The following is a 17,759-nucleotide window of genomic DNA, read 5'->3' on the forward strand; positions in this document are numbered from 1 at the left end:
GTCTGTATAATATTTCATATAACTATTTTATATGATTTATTAACTAATTCTATCTCATTAGATACTTAGAGTTGTTTCTGATTTTCATTATTATAAGTAGTACTAGGATAAGCATCCATGGAGTTAAATCTCTCGCCACATCGTCAATTATTTCCTTAGGCAAGAAGTAAAATTCCTGCGTATTTGGGTATGCGTGTTTTAGGGCTTTTTAATATTGATAGTCAAATGGCCTGCTGAAGATTTTACCTCATCCTCCCATCAGCCATGCATGAGAGCACCTGTCCCCTGTCACCCTTGTCAACCTTGAGTATGCTTGAGTGTCCTTTCGCTCTTTTAAGGGAATTGTCAAGGCTCAACAGGGGAGAGATATTTAATGCAAGCCCCTTATTGTAGAGCTGAGAAAGAAGGAGCCCAGGGAAGGAAACGACTTGACCAAGGTCAGCAGTGTGACACAGTTCAGAATAATCTCCATGCCCAGTCTCCTGACTTCCAAACCAGTGCTCTTTACCCAGTAGCCTCTGGACACCTGTTCCTGACCTTTCATTCAATGATTTCTTCAACAAGTATTTACTGAGCCCTTGTCATTCAATGATTCCTTCAACAAGTATTTACTGAGCCCTTGTCAGGTGCTGCGCTGGGCATTGAGCATTCTCCACTGAGCAAAGCATGAGCCTTATCCTCAAGGAGCTCACAGAGGGGAGCAGAAAGGCAAACAAATGGCACCCCCAGAACCAATGCAGGGACCTTAGGGAGCAGCGAAGAGCAGCACTTGGATCAACTGGGGGAGGTCAGTGAAGGCTTTCTTGAGGAATTGATTCTGGAGACTGTCTTGAAGAATGTCTCAAAGCTGACCAAGTAGACACAGAGGAAGAGCATTCTGGGCCCAGAGAATGACACTGTCGGCTTCACTCAGTTCCAACACAGGGAGAGGGTGGACAGGGTGAGGCTGGTGGGCCAAGCAGAGGCCCAGGATGCAACATTCTCGCAGACCTACTGAGAAATTATTGTCCCGAAGCCCCAGGGAGTCATGAGGTCTGTGAAGCGGAAGTGCATGGTCCAAGTTACTTTGGAGAGCTCACCTGCTCTGGTTGCAGTGTGGACAGTGCGCTGGAAAGGCAGGCCCAGACACAGAGACCTGGCAGGCAGCATGTCAGCGATTCACCTGTTAAGAGGCTTGCTCTGCTTCCTCACAGGCAGCAATCAGGCCAGGAGTGTTTGAAAATACTTCTCCAAGAACGACGTTTAAACTCCCTGAGTGCTCCACCCACATAGAGGTGAGAGCACTCCCAAGATGTGGATTCCCCAAAGCCCCTGTCTTTGGCCCGGGGGTGGGTCTGGGGATGCACATGTGTGTGCCAGGGCTAGAGATGTTCTATGACTTGACATGTTTTCAACCAATTAATAATGACCCACCTGAGGTTATCCCAAGGTGGTCAGCCTCTCCTGTCTGCACCTCTGTCGTTCCCTCATCTAGGCCCTATTTGTCGGGCCAGGTGTGTTTGAGGCTCAAAGCTCTTCTCAGCATGCAGAGTAACCAGGGGAATGCAGCTCAAGGGAGTGGGAGGGATTTCAAATAAGCTTTGTCCCATGTGAGTTACCCGCCAGTCCCCTTCCTGGGGGTAGGCTCTGGAGGGCACTGCTGGGACTGCTACATCTCAAGACTATAGTCATTTGAGAGAGCTCCCCGCCTCCAACACACTCACACCCCACTGCCGTCTCTTCTGCCCACTTAGAGTTCCCAAATATCCCCACCCCCAGGGTGAAGCCCAGCTGCTGGTGGGATAACGGGCCCTCTCTGCTACTGCTTGCAAAACAGCATGTTGTTTCTTAATGCTGTTTAAGAAATAATTCAGTTGGGATTTCAGCCTGATTTCCTGTGTGTGGTTGGAGAGAAAGAGGCACCCCCAGAAGGCTATGGAAGCTGGGGAGATGGCAGAGGCAGCGGCTGCTTAGACAAACCAGTTTTACTCAGCCCATAGATCTTGTTTTATCTCTCTTTACAACTGTTTTAATTAATTTTGAATTCTATAGGTAATACCTGGATATATTTGGAAAAAAATTTAAAATTACAGACCAAGCTAAAGCTCCTTTTAGATTAGGTTATTGCATCATCCTCAGTTCCAGTCCCCTTCCTCCACTCTTCAGATGCAAACACTGTTGACATTTTTGTATTTGACCTTCCAAATCTTTTAGTAATACTTTACATTCATTCATATTTATGGATCTGTGAGAAATATTCTGTTCCCTGGTTTTTCTCCATAAATGATATTCCATTATACATATTGTTCTGCAATGTGTTTCTTTTACTCAGTGCATCTTTAGATCTATCATGTATCACTTAGAGCGTGATCTCACCTTTTTTTTTTTTTTTTTAAGTTTTTTGGTTTTTGGTATTTTTTAGAGACAGGGCCTCACTCTGCTGCCCAGGCTGGAGTGCAGTGGCACACTGCAGCCTGGAACTCTTGGACTCAAGCCATCCTCCTGACTCAGCCTCCTGAGTAGTATCACACTTTTTTAACTTACATGATATTCCTTAGTTGGCCTGTCTCTCCATTTTGTGACCATTCCTCTATTAATGGAAGCTGACATTTTAACATTGTTTTTCACTATTAAAAACAATCCCTCAGCCAGGCACGGTGGCTCATGCCTGTAATCCCAACGCTTTGGGAGGCCAAGACGGGCAAATCGCCTGAGGTCAGGAGTTGGAGACCAGCCTGGCCAACATGGTGAAACCCAGTCTCTACTAAAAATAAAAAAATTAGCCAGGCATGGTGGTGGGCACCTGTAATCCCAGCTACTTGGGAGGCTGAGACAGGAGAATCGCTTGAACCCAGGAGGCGGAGGTTGCAGTGAGCTGAGATCACACCACTGCCACTGCACTCCAGCCTGGGCAACAAAGAGCGAAACTCCATCTCAAAAAAAAAAAACAAACCAAACAAACAAACAAACAAAAAAAAAAACAATGCCTTGAGAGGCCTTGTTGTACATACACACAAGTGTTCCCCATGGTAAAAATGAAGAAGTGGACCACAGGTTTTGTTCATTTACAATTTTTAAGGCCAGATGCAGTGGCTCATGCCTGTAACCCCAGCACTTTGGGAGGCCAAGGCGGGCAGATCACCTGAGGTCAGGAGTTCAAGACCAGCCTGGCCAACATGGTGAAACCCCGTCTCTACAAAAAATACAAAAATTAGCCGGGCATGATGGTGCATGCCTGTAGTTCCAGCTACTCATGGGGCTGAGGTGGGAAAATCATTTGAATCTGGGAGGTAGAGGCTGCAGTGAGCTGAGATTGCATGATTGCACTCCAGCCTGGGTGACAGAGCGAGACTCTGTCTCAAAAAAAAATAAAAATAAAAACACTGGGCGCTGTGGCTCACTTCTATAATCCCAGCACTTTGGGAGGCTTAGGTGGGCAGATCACCTGAGGTCAGGAGTTCGAGACCAGCCTGGCCAACATGATGAAACCCCATCTCTACTAAAAATACAAAAATTAGCCAGGTGTGGTGGTGCACACCTGTACTCCCAGCTTCCTTGGGAGGTTGAGGCACGAGAATCGCTTGAACTCGGGAGGCAGAGGTTGCAGTGAGCTAAGATGGCACCACTGCACTCCAGCTTGGGTGATAGTGTGAGACTCCATCTCAAAAAAAAAAAAAAAAAAAAAATTTAAGTCCTGGCACAGTAGCTCACACCTATAATCCCAACATTTTGGGAAGCCGAGGTGGGAGGATCACTTGAGCCGAGGAGTTTGGGATCAACCTGAGCAACATAATGAGACTCTGTCTCTACAAAAAAAAAAAAAAAAAAAAAAAAATTAGCTGGGCGCGGTGATACTCCTGTAGTCCCAACGACTTGGGAGGTTGAGGCAGGAGGATCACTTCAGCCCAGGAATTCAGGGTTACAGTGAGCTATGATCACACCAGAACACTCCAGCCTGGGCGACAGAGCAAGACCCCGTATCTAATAAAATCTTAACAGATACGTATTGCTAAACTAGCCTCCAAACTTTGTAAAAATCTCATGAGCAAAGAATGGAATCATATTATTGGTTCAACTTTTATGTATTTGGTTAATAGTGAGGTTGAGCATATTTTTATTTGAATTATATCTTCTGCAACTTTCCTGTGTTTTGTTTTGTTAATTTTTCTATGGTGTTGTCACTCTTTTTATTGATTTGTAACAAGTATTCTATATTCTGGGTAAGCACTAAAGTCCTTCAGTTGTTATGTAGGTTCCAAATTTCTTTTTAGTACATCGCTTTTCATTTATGTTTTTTATAGTGTCTTAATTTCAAGGTGGTCAAATTTATCAATTTTTTTATATGGATTTTGCTTTTTGTTTTATGTATTTATTTTGGATTTCGCTCTTTCAGCTTTTTTTTTTAAGGGGCTCTTCCTTTCTTCAAGATTATAAACATATTTTCCTGTATATCCTTATAATACTTTAACACTTTGTTTTTACACTTAGGTCTCAAATCCATCTGGAATTTTGTTTGTGTGAATGGTATGAGGTGGGGAGCCATCTTTTTCTTTTTTTTTTTCCCAAACAGATAATCAGTTGTCCCAATGCCTTTAACTGAATAATCTGTCATGTCTCCACTGAATTCAGATACTAGTTTTGTCACTTACCATAAATGTGTGTGTATTTCTGATTGTTCTACGCTACCTTCCTAGTAGTCTATCTATTCCTATGTCAATACCTAATCATTACAGTCACTATAACTTTCTAATATGTTTTCATTACTGGCGAGATAAATTATCCTTCCTCATTCTTTTTAAAAATAGTCTTCAGCATTTTAGCATATTTACTCTTGCTTAAGAATTTCCGAACGTTTGTCTAGTTCCATAAAAAATCCTGTTGAGATTTTTAATGATATTGCATTCAATTTATACATAAATTTGGTAACGATTGATATCTGTATGATATTGTCTTCCTATCCCAGTACATTCATTCATTCACTCAACATATATGTACTGAGCACCTACCATGCGCCAGCACTGTTCTGGGTCCTGGGGATACAGCAGTTAACCAATTACTTGCTCTCATGGAGTTTACATTCTTGAGTAATTCAATGTATCATTCCATTTGTTTTCTTTTGTATCTTTCCTTTAAATGTTATTGTTTTACCCATATAGGGCTTGCTTGTTTCTTGTTAGGTTTGTTCCTAAGCACTTCCTTTTTGAAAAATGTAAATTTGGTCATTAAGTTTCTCTACGGAACTTGCAACATCTTACAAATTTTTTTTTAACCTCAAAAACATTCAAAGTAAGCTTTTTTCTTTGCTTTCTTTTTTCTTTTTCTTTTTCTTTTTTTTTTATGAGACGGAGTCTCGCTTTGTCACCCAGGCTGGAGTGCAGTGGCGCTATGTCGGCTCACTGCAAGCTCCGCCTCCCGGGCTCATGCCATTCTCCTGCCTCAGCCTCCTGAGTAGCTGGGACTTCAGGCACCCGCCACCACGCCCAGCAATTTTTTGTATTTTTAGTAGAGACGGGGTTTCACCATGTTAGCTAAGATGGTCTCAATCTCCTGACTTCGTGATCCACCCACCTCGGCCTCCCAAAGTGCTGGGATTACAGGCCTGAGTCACTGCGCCAGTCCCTTATTTTTTTTTATAGAGACAGGATCTCACTTTGTTGCCCAGGCTGGAGGTACAGTGGCTATTCACAGGCACAGCCATTGCACACTACAACCTTAAACTCCTCAGCTCAAGCAATCTTCCTGCTTCAGCCTCCTGAGTAGCTGAGACTACAGGTGTGTGCACTGTTCCCAGCTAAGGTAAGTATTCTTAAAGAAAACGAAATGTAATGGGATTCTATTCTTTCAGTTTTCTATAGAAGGTAGATTCATTTATCTGAAAAGCACTATACCTTTCTAACCGACCTTTCTAGAAAGGTTAGAGTCTCTATCTGATGAAGATACAATGGTTTGTTTGTTTGTTTTTAGACGGAGTTTCCCTCTGTCACCTAGGCTGGAGTACAATGGCATGATCTCAGCTCACTGCAACCTCCACCTCCCGGGTTCAAGCAATTCTCCTGCCTCAGCCTCCCAAGTAGCTGGGATTACAAGCATGTGCCACCATGCCATGCTAATTTTTGTATTTTTAGTAGAGGCAGGGTTTCACCCTGTTGGTCAGGCTGGTCTCAAACTCCTGAGCTTATAATCCACCCGCCTCAGCCTCCCAAACTGCTGGGATTACAGGCGTAAGCCACTGCGCCTGGCCAAGATATAATTTTTTTAAAGAGTGAATTTTCGGCCAGGCATGGTGGCTCACACCTGTAATCCCAGCACTTTGGGAGGCTGAGACAGGCTGATCACAAGATCAGGAGTTTGAGACCAGCCTGGCCAACATGGCGAAACCCCTTCTCTACTAAAAAATACAAAAATTAGCCTGGCATGGTGGTGCGCACCTGTAATCCCAGCTACTCGGGAGGCTGAGGCAGGAGAATTGCTTGAACCCAGGAGGCAGAGGTTGCATTGGGCTGAGATTGCGCCACTGCACTTCAGCCTGGGCGACAGAGCAAGACTGTGTCTCAAAAAAAAAGAGTGAATTTTCAAAATTTTTTGGTTTTAAATTTGGTTTTCAAATATGTTTAGGTCAGTACTGTAAAAGTTAAGACAAGTTAAATTCTGTGATTTTACAAATGCTTAATGGTTTTGCAGTTACTCCACCCTTTATACTTGTGGTTATTTGGGGAGGGGGTAAGCTTCCACGAGTCAAAGTTCTACAAAAGACACTAAAAATAAGAAACATTAAACTCAAAGAACAAGAATTAAACAGCATCTTCACCAATAAGATTAGTTAAAATAGAAAAGACTGATAAACCCAGTGCCAGTCAGGATGTGAAAAAAAATAAGCGTAGCTTGGCCCCATGCCATGGGATGGCAATCTGACAATGTCAGTCAAACTCCAAAGTGCTCTGACTCAGCAATTCTACCTTCAGGTAGGAATTTATCTTTCAGACACATTCTTAGGAAAGCATAAAGATACCTACACAAGTGTGTTCATTTCCGCCTCATTTGCAACAACCAAAAGACTGGAAGCAAGCCAAATGTCCATCAGAAAAGTTTTGCCAGGTTGTGGTATACCCTGGTAAATGTGTTTTATGCAGCCTTTAAAACAGAGGGAGATCTATTTGTAGCAAAATGGCAAGATTCAACCTGAGAAAACTGATTGGGAAAAAAAAAACAAAGAAAAAGAACAAAATGGCAAGAAATGTTACCAAAAGAAAATAACTAGTTACAAAACATTATATATAGCATGTTGCAATTCATACAAAACACACAGACATACATACACGCATAGGCACCACACACATGCACACAGAAGTGTTTACATACACATAAAGATTCTGAGAGCAGGCACAAAAGCCTATTTACAGTGGTTACATCTGGGGAATGAGCTGAAGGGGCTGAGGAACAAGACCCTTTTGCTTCATCCTCAGTGCTCTTCTCAAAGTTTTACAAGGAAAATATAATAATTTTATCATGAAAGAACTAAAAATCTCTCCCTCACCACAATTATGCAAAGTAGCAAACTTTGGTTTTACTTAATCAGTAGGTTTGGATTACTTTTACACTGGCTTGCTAATATGAAGCCAGACACTAACAAAGATTGAAATGGTAGCATTGGGCCAGCGCGGTGGCTCACTCCTGTAATCCCAGCACTTTGGGAGGCCAAGGCAGGTGGATCACTTGAGGTCAGGAGTTCGAGACCAGCCTGGCCAATATGACAAACCTCCGTCTTTTTTTTTTTTTGAGACACAGTTTCGCTCTTGTTGCCCGTACTGGAGTGCAATCGTGCGATCTCGGCTCACCACAACCTCCTCCTCCCAGATTCAAGTGGTTCTCCTGCCTCAGCCTCCCGAGTAGCTGGGATTACAGGTACACAGCACCATGCCCGGCTAATTTTTCTGTATTTTTAGTAGAGATGGGGTTTCTCCATGTTGGTCAGGCTGGTCTCGAACTCCCAACCTCAGGTGATCCGCCCATCTCGGCCTCCCAAAGTGCTGGGATTACAGGCATGAGTCACCGCACCTAGACCTCTGTCTTTACTAAAAATATAAAAATTAGCCAGGCATGCTGGCACACACTTGTAATCCCAGCTACTCAGGAGGTTGAGGCATGAGAATTGCTTGAATCTGGAAGGCAGAGGTTGCGGTGAGCCGATATTGAACCACTGCACTCCAGCCTGGGTGAAAGAGTAAGACTCTGTCTCAAAAAACCGAAACCAAAAACAAACAAACAAACAAAAACATTCTTTGCAAACTAAGAAGAAAAGGAACTTCCTCAAGTCTGACAAAGGATATTTACAAACAAAGATATCACTAGCGTGATACTTAATGGTGAAAGACTGAATGCATTCTCCCTAAGACTGGGAATGAGGCAAGGATGTCTGCTTCTGCCGTTTCTATTCAGCATTGTATTGGAGAGTCTGTGCTGTACAATGAGACAAGAAAAGGAAATTAAAGGGATCAGAATTTGAATTGTCTTTACTTATATACAATATGATCACATATATACACACACACACACAGATACACACACATATATATATATGATTCTAAGGAATCTACGTAAAATCTAGTAGAATCGGTAAGTGAGTTTAGGAAGGTTGCAATATAGAGGGCCAAAATACAAAAATTAGCTGTGTTTCTATATACTAGCAACAAACAATCAGAAATTGAAATAAAAATAACAATACCACTTTCAATTAAGCATCGAAAATATGAAACACTTACGGATAAATCTGACAAAAGATATACAAGATTGATACTGAAAACAACAAAACATTGCTAAGAGAAATTAAAGGAGACCTAAATAAATGGAAGGATATAGTTTTTGATAGGTAAACAGACTCTATACTGTGAAAATGTCAATTCTTCCCAAATTGATCTATAATTCAATGCAATCACAATCAAGATATTAATAAGAAGCTCCAGTTCTAGGTAAGATGGAATAAACACATTCCACACTGTCTGTCTCTCTCACAATGAATGCAGCTATAAATTTTGTACAGAATGCATGGAGCAACTATATGAAGACTCTGAAAGTAAATCAATGCAGGCAGACTGAAGAAGAATAATATATTTGAATATACCACCCAAGTAGCAGTGAGTTTACTGTATTTTTTCCTCTGGTATCCCCCAACCTGAACTCAATGCAGCCCAAAACCCAATATGGGCATCTATGGGGCAGAGGGGGCTCCAGGAGAAAACTCTCTGGATCCGACTTAAGGTGCAGGAAAGAGATCTCCTAATGTTCAGAGAGTACAGAGACCTCCCACTTTTCTCTTTTCCTTTTCTCCATTATCTTGCACCCCAGTTCCAAGCAATCCTTGGAAATAGTGGCAGCAGCAGGAGAAGGGGCCAGAAAGACCCCAGAACTCTGAGGGAGGGCAAACTTCCTCTCCAGTCAGAGGAGCTGTGCTCCCAGGAAGGTGGAATGAATCCTTGATACTCTTTCTTCTCTCTCTCTGTCTTCCCATTGCCCTGCCCCGGTGCAGGCATGGTCACAGGAAGTACATCACAGAACAAGGTAAATAAGCTTTTTGGCCAAAGGATCAAGAATCTCAAGGAATCATAATGCATCAGGGAGATGACAGAAAAGGAGGAGCTCAGGAAAGCAACCCTTTAAAGAACCTGTGGGACAATACCAAAAGGTCTAACATTTGCATCATCCAAGTCCCAGTAGGAGAGGGAGAAAAATGTGGTATAGAAAAATATTTGAAGAAAACTTCAAATTTGGCAAACTCCCCAAATTTGGCAAAGACATAGACCTATAGAATCAAGAAGCTCAGCAAACCCCAAATAGAATAAACATAAATAAACATAAAAGAACCCATATTGAACACGCAGTCAAACTGCTGAAAACAAAGGACAAAGACAAGAATCTTGCAAGAAACCAAAGAAAGATACATTACTACAGAGAATCAACAATTTGCAGGACTGTGGCTTTCTTATCAGAGATTATGAGACAGCAGGAAGGGAAACAATATTTTTAAAGTGTTTAAATAAAGAACTTTCAACCCATAATTCTCTATCCAATGAAAATATCCTTCAAGAATGAAGGTGAAATAAAGACATTCTCAGTTAAAGAAAAACTAAGATAATTCACTGTCACCATTTCTCTGAAATGACACCAGAAAGAAACTTGGGACATCAGAAATAAAGAAAGAGCAACAAAAATGTTGAATATCTGGGTTAAATATAATAGACTATTTCTCTCCTTTGAGTTTCTTAAAACCTATTTTCTGGTTGAAAGCAAAAGTTATAATGCTGCCTAATGAAATTTTTCATGTATGTAGAGACACAAGGCAACTGGGGAGAAAGATTAAGGAAAATATATCGTGGTAAAATCTCTAAATCCCACTTAAAGTGCTAAAATATTGATTTAAGTAATGAAAAGTCAAATGTATATGCTATCATACCTAAAGCAACCACTAAAAAAGTTATATATATAAGTATATATACACATAATGTGTGTAAATGTATATATAAATGCAATAACATTTAAAAGAATACCAAAAATTGTTCAAACAACCCAGAAGAAAGCAAGAAAGAGAAAACAGAGGGAATAAGCAGAAAACAAATAATATAATTGTAAACCAAAATATAAATAATCACACTGAATCTAAGTGAACGGTCTTAACACATCAGTTAAAACACAGATTGCCAGAATGATTTTTTTTTTTTTAGATAGGGTCTCACTCTGTCACCCACGCTGGAGTGCAGTGGTGCAATCTCAGCTCACTGCAACCTCCGCCTCCCAGGCTCAAGCAATTCTCCTGCCTCAGCCTCCCGAGTAGCTGGGATTACAGGCACACGCCACTGCCACCCGGCTAATTTTTGTATTTTCAGTAGAGGCGGTGTTTCACCACGCTGACCAGGCTGGTCTTGAACTCCCGACCTCAAATAGTCTGTCCACCTCAGCTTCCCAAAGTGCTGGGATTACAGGCATGAGCCACCATGCTCAGCCCAGAATTTTTTAAATGACTCAACTGTATATTGTCTAAAAGAAGCCCACTTCAAATATAATGATATAAGTAGGTTAAAGGCAAAAGGATAGAAAAAGATATACCATGCTAACATAAATCAAAAGAGAGCTAGAGTGGCTATGTTAGTATCAAACAAAAATACTTCAAAGTAAAGAAAATAACTAATGATAAAGCAGGAAAGAGTTAATTCTCTAAGAAGACATAACAATTCTAGATTTATAAGTGTTTAACAACAGGGCTTTGAAAAACAAAGCAAAACTGATAAAATTAAAAGGAAAAATGAATAAATTCACAATTGTAGTTGGAGGCTTTTACACTCCTCTCTCAGTAATTAGTAGAACCAAGGGTGATTCCATTTGCTTTCCTCTGATGCTGCAAACATGGACTCACGCAATCCTCCCACCTCAGCTTCCTGAGTAGCTGGAACTATAGATGAACACCACTAAGCCCAGCTAATTTATTTATTTATTTATGTTTGTAGAGATAGGGGTCTCACCATGTTGCCCAGGCTGGTCTCAAACTCCTGGCGTCAAGCAATCCTCCCACCTTGGCCTCCCAAAGTACTGGGATTCCAGGCATGAGCCACCATGCCTGGCCCAATTTCTTTTACAGGCTATGAAAGAGGAAGCAACACCAATCGGATGAATTATAAGAAGAATCAGAATCTCGGTCATGCAAAGACAGACCCAGTTTCCCCAGTGATTCCTGTCAGCTACAACATTTTGAAGTATATTAACATTAAGCCCTGAATATGCTTCTTATTTTAAATACTGTGGCATAGTGCAATTCATTAGCCTTTTTGAAAGGCATAGAAAGGATTTGAAGTCAAGCATGTCTTAAAGAAGCAAAGAGACTGATAGTCAATACCAATCACCCAGACCCAGAAGTGGGGCAACAAGCACGGAGCACAGGCTTAGTATCAACCTGATTGTGTCTAATGCATTCTGCTGACACCTCTGCAACTGAGCGTTAGCATCCATACTGTTCCAATTCTCCATACGGCATCTTCTACAGAAACAGATCTCTAAGAGAAGAAATGAAAAAGTTTCATCCAATCTTCAAAAATAGTTAATGTCAAGTAAGGACATTACTGTTACATTATAATATCGCATCCCAAAGTCAGCCTAGTGAAACGAATGCTTAATTTCTTCTCCTCCTTCTTATTTGTAGTGTCAACAGATCAAAAGGCAAATGTACTCTAAATCTAAATATTTAAAATTATTCACCTCTTTTTACTGCTTATTATCCCTCATAAATAATAACTCACTAACTAGGACGTGGAACTTTCACTCAGAAAGAAAAGCTTAGTTATAGCAATAAAAATATTCTTATAATACAAACTAAAATAAAAAAACCTAATATTCCTTTGTCTGCTCTATTGGTAAGCAATAGAATCAAATTAAAATTAGAATCAAATATTTTAGGAATGTCAGTGACCTTAGAGATGGTTTAGCTAAACAATCTCACTTCAAGACTGGAAAGATGAGGTTCGAGCATTGTAAGAAACTTGTCAAGGTAACACAGAATACTACCGGCAAAAAGTGGCTGCAGAACTCTGGCTGCCTATTCACCAGTTTTGTGTCCCTTTGTTTATTAAATGCTGTCTTTTCACAGTGTTATGAAGGTAAAAGGCTAGCACACCAGCCTCTCTGGCTTGTAAGTAAGTAATGAATGGGGGATATAAAGTAGTCTAACCCATTGTGCATTGAAAGTAGATAGAAACCTCTTGTGAACACCTGGGCAGTAGAATAACTGAAATAAACAATTTTTCTAGTTGCTACAGCAGAAGCAAGAAAGAATGAAATTGACTTTATTTATCTACTTAAAGAGTGAAGACAGAAACTGCAATAAGAATTCTGGCATCACTGTTCAACCAAGAGCTAACTTTTATATTGTTTTAGAAAATGTAGTCATTGGCCGTGCGCGGTGGCTCAAGTCTGTAATCCCAGCACTTTGGGAGGCTGAGGCGGGCAGATCAGAAGGTCAGGAGTTCGAGACCAGCCTGGCCAATATAGTGAAACCCTGTCTCTACTAAAAATACAAAAATTAGCCAGGAGTGGTGGCACATGCCTGTAGTCCCAGCTACTCAGGAGGCTGAGGCAGGAGAATTGCTTGAACCCAGGAGGCGGAGGTTGCAATGAGCCGAGGTTGCGCCACTGCACTCCAGCCTGGGCAACAGAGTGAGACTCTGTCTCAAAAAAAAAAAAAGAAAGTGTAGTGACTATTTTATTGTCGATGATTTTACCTCATATGACATTCCTGACATTGTGATTAATAAATAAAAGTTGTGCTGCCAGAAAAGAAAAAAGAACTAATGGAGAGAAAATCAGCAAAGATATAGAACTGAATAACACCATCAACCAAATGGAAACAATTTGTATGTATACAAAATGCTACCTAATAATAGCGGAATAAACATTATTTCCAAGCGCACATGGAACACTCATAAAAATAGGCCACATTCTGGGCCATAAAGCAAGCCTCAACAAATTTAAGAGAATTAAAATCATACAAAGTGCGTTCTTTAAGCATAATGGGATCAAACTAGAAAACGATAAGAGAAAGATAACAGGAAAACATCCAAACACTTGGAAACTAAGAAAACACACTTCTAAACCCATGAGTCAAGAAATGTTTTTTTAAAAAATGAGAACTGAGGCCGGGCTGGTGGCTCACACCTGTAATCCCAGCACTTTGGGAGGCCGAGGTGGGCAGATCACCTGAGGTCAGGAGTTCAAAACCAGCCTGGCCAACGTGGTAAAACCCTGTCTCTACTAAAAATACAAAAATTGGCCAGGTGTGGTGGTGCATGCTTGTAATCCCAGCCACTTGGGAGGCTGAGGCAGGAGAATCACTTGAACTCAGGAAGCGGAGGTTGCGGTGAGCAGAGATTGCATCACTGCACTGCAGCCTGGGTGACAGAGTGAGAATCTGTCTCAAAAAATAAATAAATAAATAAATAGAACAGAATGAGAATTGAAACACAGTATATCAAAATTTGTGGAATGCAGCTAAAACAATGCATAGAGGGAAATTTATAGCATTAAATGCTTATATTAGAAAAGAAAGAAATGTCTCAAATCAATGATCTAAGCTTATGCTTTGTTAAACAAGAAAAAGAAGACTACAGTAAACAAAGCAAGCAGAAGGATAAAATAATAAAGGCTAGAAATTAATTAAATAATAAAATAAACGTCAGAAATTAATGAAATTTAACACAGAAAAATAATAGAGAAAAAAATGAATCCAAGAAGGTGATTCTTTGAAAGATCAATTTTATTGATAAACCTCTAGTTAAACTGACCAAGAAAAAAAGAAGACAACTTACAAACATCAGTAATAAAAGAGGGAACATTACCACAGACCCCACATACATTATGAATATAAATGTGACAACTAGGATAAAAAATTCCTTGAAACAAATTACAAAAGCTCACTCAAGAAGAAATAGTTATATTTAAGTCCTGTATCTGTTAGTGACATTAAATTCATGGTTTAAAAGCCTCACACAAAGAAAACTCTAGCCCTAGATGCTTTCACTGGCAAATTTTATCAAACATTTAAGGAAGATATAATGTGGGCTGGGTGCGGTGGTTCACGCCTATAATCCCAGCACTTTGGGAGGCCGAGGTGGGCAGATCACCTGAGGTTGGGAGTTCCGAGACCAGCCTGGTCAACATGGTGAAACCCTGTCTCTACTAAAAATACAAAAATTAGCCGGGTGTGGTGGCACATGCCTATAATCAAAGCTACTCAAGAGACTGTGGCAGGAGAATCGCTTAAACCTGGGAGGTGGAGGTTGCAGTGAGCCAAGACCGCACCATTGCACTCCAGCCTGGGCGACAGAGCAAAACTCCGTCTCAAAAAAAAAAAAAAAAAAAAAAGGGAGATATAATGCTAGTTCTACACAATCTCTTCCATGATATAGAATGTCATAGAAACTTTCCACCTCATTTTATGAGGCTAACTGTATTCTGATATTAAAACCTGACATGGACATTACAATAAAAGAATACTACAGAACAAGATAACTCATGAAAACACATGCAAAATTCCTCAACAAAAGAGTAGCAAATTGAATTCAGCAATATAAAAAAATCATAACAAATGGGGTTTATCCTGGGAGTACAAATCTATTTCAACTTTTGAAAAATCAATTTAATTCAGCTTATCAACAGCGTAAAGAAAAAAAAGACATTTGATCATCTTAATAGATGCAGAACAAACATTTGACAAAATTTAACATCCAGTTTTGATAAAACCTCTCTGCAATCTAGGAAAAAACAAAAGGAACTTTCTCTGCCTGACAAAGGGCATCTATAAAAACAAAACAGAAAAACTCAATGAAAATCATTCTTAATGGTGAACAATTGAATGCCTTCCCCCTAAGATTAGGAACAAAGCAAGGATATCTGTTTTCACCACTTCTAGTCAACATTGTACAGGAGGTCCTGGCCAGTGCAATAGGCAAGGAAAAAAATTAATGTCATACAAATTGTAAAGGAAGAAATAAAACTGTCTCCATTCCCAGATAACAAATTGCTTTAAAAATTCCAAAGAATAACCGAGAAAAAAGCTACTAGAACTAATAAGTGAGTTTAGCAAGGTTGCAGGATACAAAATCAGTATACAAAACTCAATCGTATTTCTTCATCCTAGATTTTTTCTTTGCAGGACAGTTCTCCAGGTAGCCTTAGACCAACCCAGTTCTTCCCCTTTGTTGTTTGTAGTTATCAAGAATGACTGTAAAATTTGCTGGGAATACAACATCCTGAGATAGGGAGGAACTGACCAGAACAGCCTGGGCTCTCTTCCAGTCCCCCAACAGAAGACAGATGTCCTTCAAGGCTTTATCCCAGAGAGTCCTGATGCTCCTGAGGTATAAAACCCAGAGTAGGCTGTCTTCCAGGGTCCCACAGCTGCAGTGCAAATGGGGTACATGCAGATAAGATTCCACCCAATTTCCTTATTTTTCTTATCTGCTATATATTTAGAAACTATGAAAGGATGCTTTCACTTATCAAATGATTTTTCAACATCTTGAAGTGAGCATGTGATTTTTCTCCTTTGATCTGTTAAAGTAGTGAATTCTATTAACATAGAATAATAGAATTAATCAATTTAATAATAAAATGGTGAAACACTTTTGCCTTATTAAGATAAATGCTACAGGCCAGGTACAGTGGCTCATGTCTGTAATCCCAACAGTTTAGAAGGCCAAGGCAAGAGAATCACTTGAGGCCAGGAGTTCAAGACCAGCCTGGGTAACATAGCAAGACTCCATCTCTTAAAAATTGTTTTTAAATTAGTTGGGCATGGTGGCATGTGCCTATACTCCCAGCTACTCAGGAGGCTGAGGTGAGAAGATCATTTGTGCCCAGGAAGTCAAGGCTGCAGTGAGCTGTGATCATGCCACTGTACTCCTGCCTAGGTGACAGAGCGAGACCCTGTCTCAAAAAAAAAAAAAAAACAAAATTAAAAATGCTACAGCCATGATGTATATTTAATTTCCTAAAGCTATATTTAGGATATTCTGTGTTCATAAACCAGATAGATCTGTCATAATGTTTTCTTGTCCTGTTCTAGATTGGGTGACAAGATTATTCAAGTCTCAAACATTGAATTGGATTGCTTCTCTTTTTTTTTCTGTACTTGTAATCTATTTATCAGCTTCACATGCAGTGAGTCCTTTGAATCTAAGTATCTGTGTCTTTCTTCAGTCCTAGAAAATTTATAGCCATTATTTGTTCTATCACTCATGGTCTCTATTTCTCCCCACATCTTCCCAACCCCAGGGTATTCTTATGAATAGGTATTGAAACATTTGACCCCATCCTCCATGTATAACTTTTCTTTCATTTTGCTCATCTCTTTTATCCCTTTGTACAGCACTCTGAGGGAATTACTTACCTCAAAATTCAAGCTTACTAATTGTATCCAACTATGAATTATATGCTCTTCACGCATATATTGAGTCCTTTTTTAACAAGAATATATGTATTTTTTGCAAGATCTCTATTAGGATCACTTTCATAACTACTTGATCTTGTTTCCCATATGTAATTCCTTCCTTTATTTCTCCAACAATAACTGTAGACTTTTTAAAGTTTTCTCCTAATGCTTTACTGACTTATGTATATTTTTCCATTTCCATTTGTTATCTCTCTTAGTGAAGTTGGCTTTCCTCAAATATTTTTTGAGTCTTTACTCTGTTCTTGCCATTGTGGTTGGGAGTCTTTGCTGGACGGCTGGGTGGGAACTGCTGCCATGATTCTGAGGGTTTTGGTTGAGAGGGAAGGGTCACAGTATGCTGCGGTTTGGTGGCTTCTCACCTGGGCGGTGATACATCTTGTTTCTGCCAGGTGCGGCCAGCCACCTAAAGTACCACCTGGTCTCTGATCCAAGCTGCAACCCTTACTGTTCTCTAAGTCTGTCATCTAAAGGCAGACATCTTCACCTTTGCCCTTGGCCCATGGCAGAAGGAGAATGTGCAACAATCATTCAAAGAAAAACCCCAACTAACCACACCATCGGTAGCCCCTAGGGTCTCTTCTGCCCTGTTTGCACTGCCTCTAGTCCAGAGGCAACGTGCAGAGCTCTCCCACATATACCCTACTCTCAAGTTTCTCAGTATGATCTGCCATCTGTTCTTGTCTTTTCCAGAATCCTGTTGTTTTTAGTCTACTGAGAGTCCCCTTTCTTGCTTTCAAATGGAACTGTGTATAGTGTTTATTTGTTCTATTTCTCTCATGTCTATTATTTCTGT

At 40.3% G+C, this 17,759-nt stretch overlaps 8 annotated features.

The window, feature by feature from the left end:
- Positions 1,113–1,728: an enhancer, noted in NCBI's record as "NANOG-H3K27ac hESC enhancer chr17:56361623-56362238 (GRCh37/hg19 assembly coordinates)". NCBI's record gives its function as "activates a minimal SCP1, AML or CMV promoter by ChIP-STARR-seq in naive H9 embryonic stem cells {active_cell/tissue: H9 hESC(naive)}" and the evidence as "EXISTENCE:reporter gene assay evidence [ECO:0000049][PMID:30033119]".
- Positions 1,113–2,835: a biological region, named in NCBI's record as "MPO upstream enhancer region". NCBI's record gives its function as "regulatory_interactions: LOC106694315 | MPO".
- Positions 1,335–2,835: a DNaseI hypersensitive site, noted in NCBI's record as "HS-1; HL-60 promyelocytes; the nucleotide coordinates are approximate for this feature". NCBI's record gives the evidence for it as "EXISTENCE:in vivo cleavage assay evidence [ECO:0001075][PMID:1648980, PMID:1845843]".
- Positions 1,637–1,665: a protein binding site, noted in NCBI's record as "F1 site". NCBI's record gives the evidence for it as "EXISTENCE:protein binding evidence [ECO:0000024][PMID:18435917]".
- Positions 1,637–1,665: a protein binding site, noted in NCBI's record as "F1 site". NCBI's record gives the evidence for it as "EXISTENCE:protein binding evidence [ECO:0000024][PMID:18435917]".
- Positions 1,641–1,897: an enhancer, noted in NCBI's record as "-3844 to -4100 fragment". NCBI's record gives its function as "TPA and DMSO-responsive enhancer" and the evidence as "EXISTENCE:reporter gene assay evidence [ECO:0000049][PMID:9783807, PMID:18435917]".
- Positions 1,687–1,710: a protein binding site, noted in NCBI's record as "F2 site". NCBI's record gives the evidence for it as "EXISTENCE:protein binding evidence [ECO:0000024][PMID:18435917]".
- Positions 1,872–1,896: a protein binding site, noted in NCBI's record as "-4099 to -4075 probe". NCBI's record gives the evidence for it as "EXISTENCE:protein binding evidence [ECO:0000024][PMID:9783807]".

This window comes from Homo sapiens, chromosome 17, assembly GCF_000001405.40.
Source record: "Homo sapiens chromosome 17, GRCh38.p14 Primary Assembly".
Taxonomy (NCBI): Eukaryota; Metazoa; Chordata; class Mammalia; order Primates; family Hominidae; genus Homo; species Homo sapiens.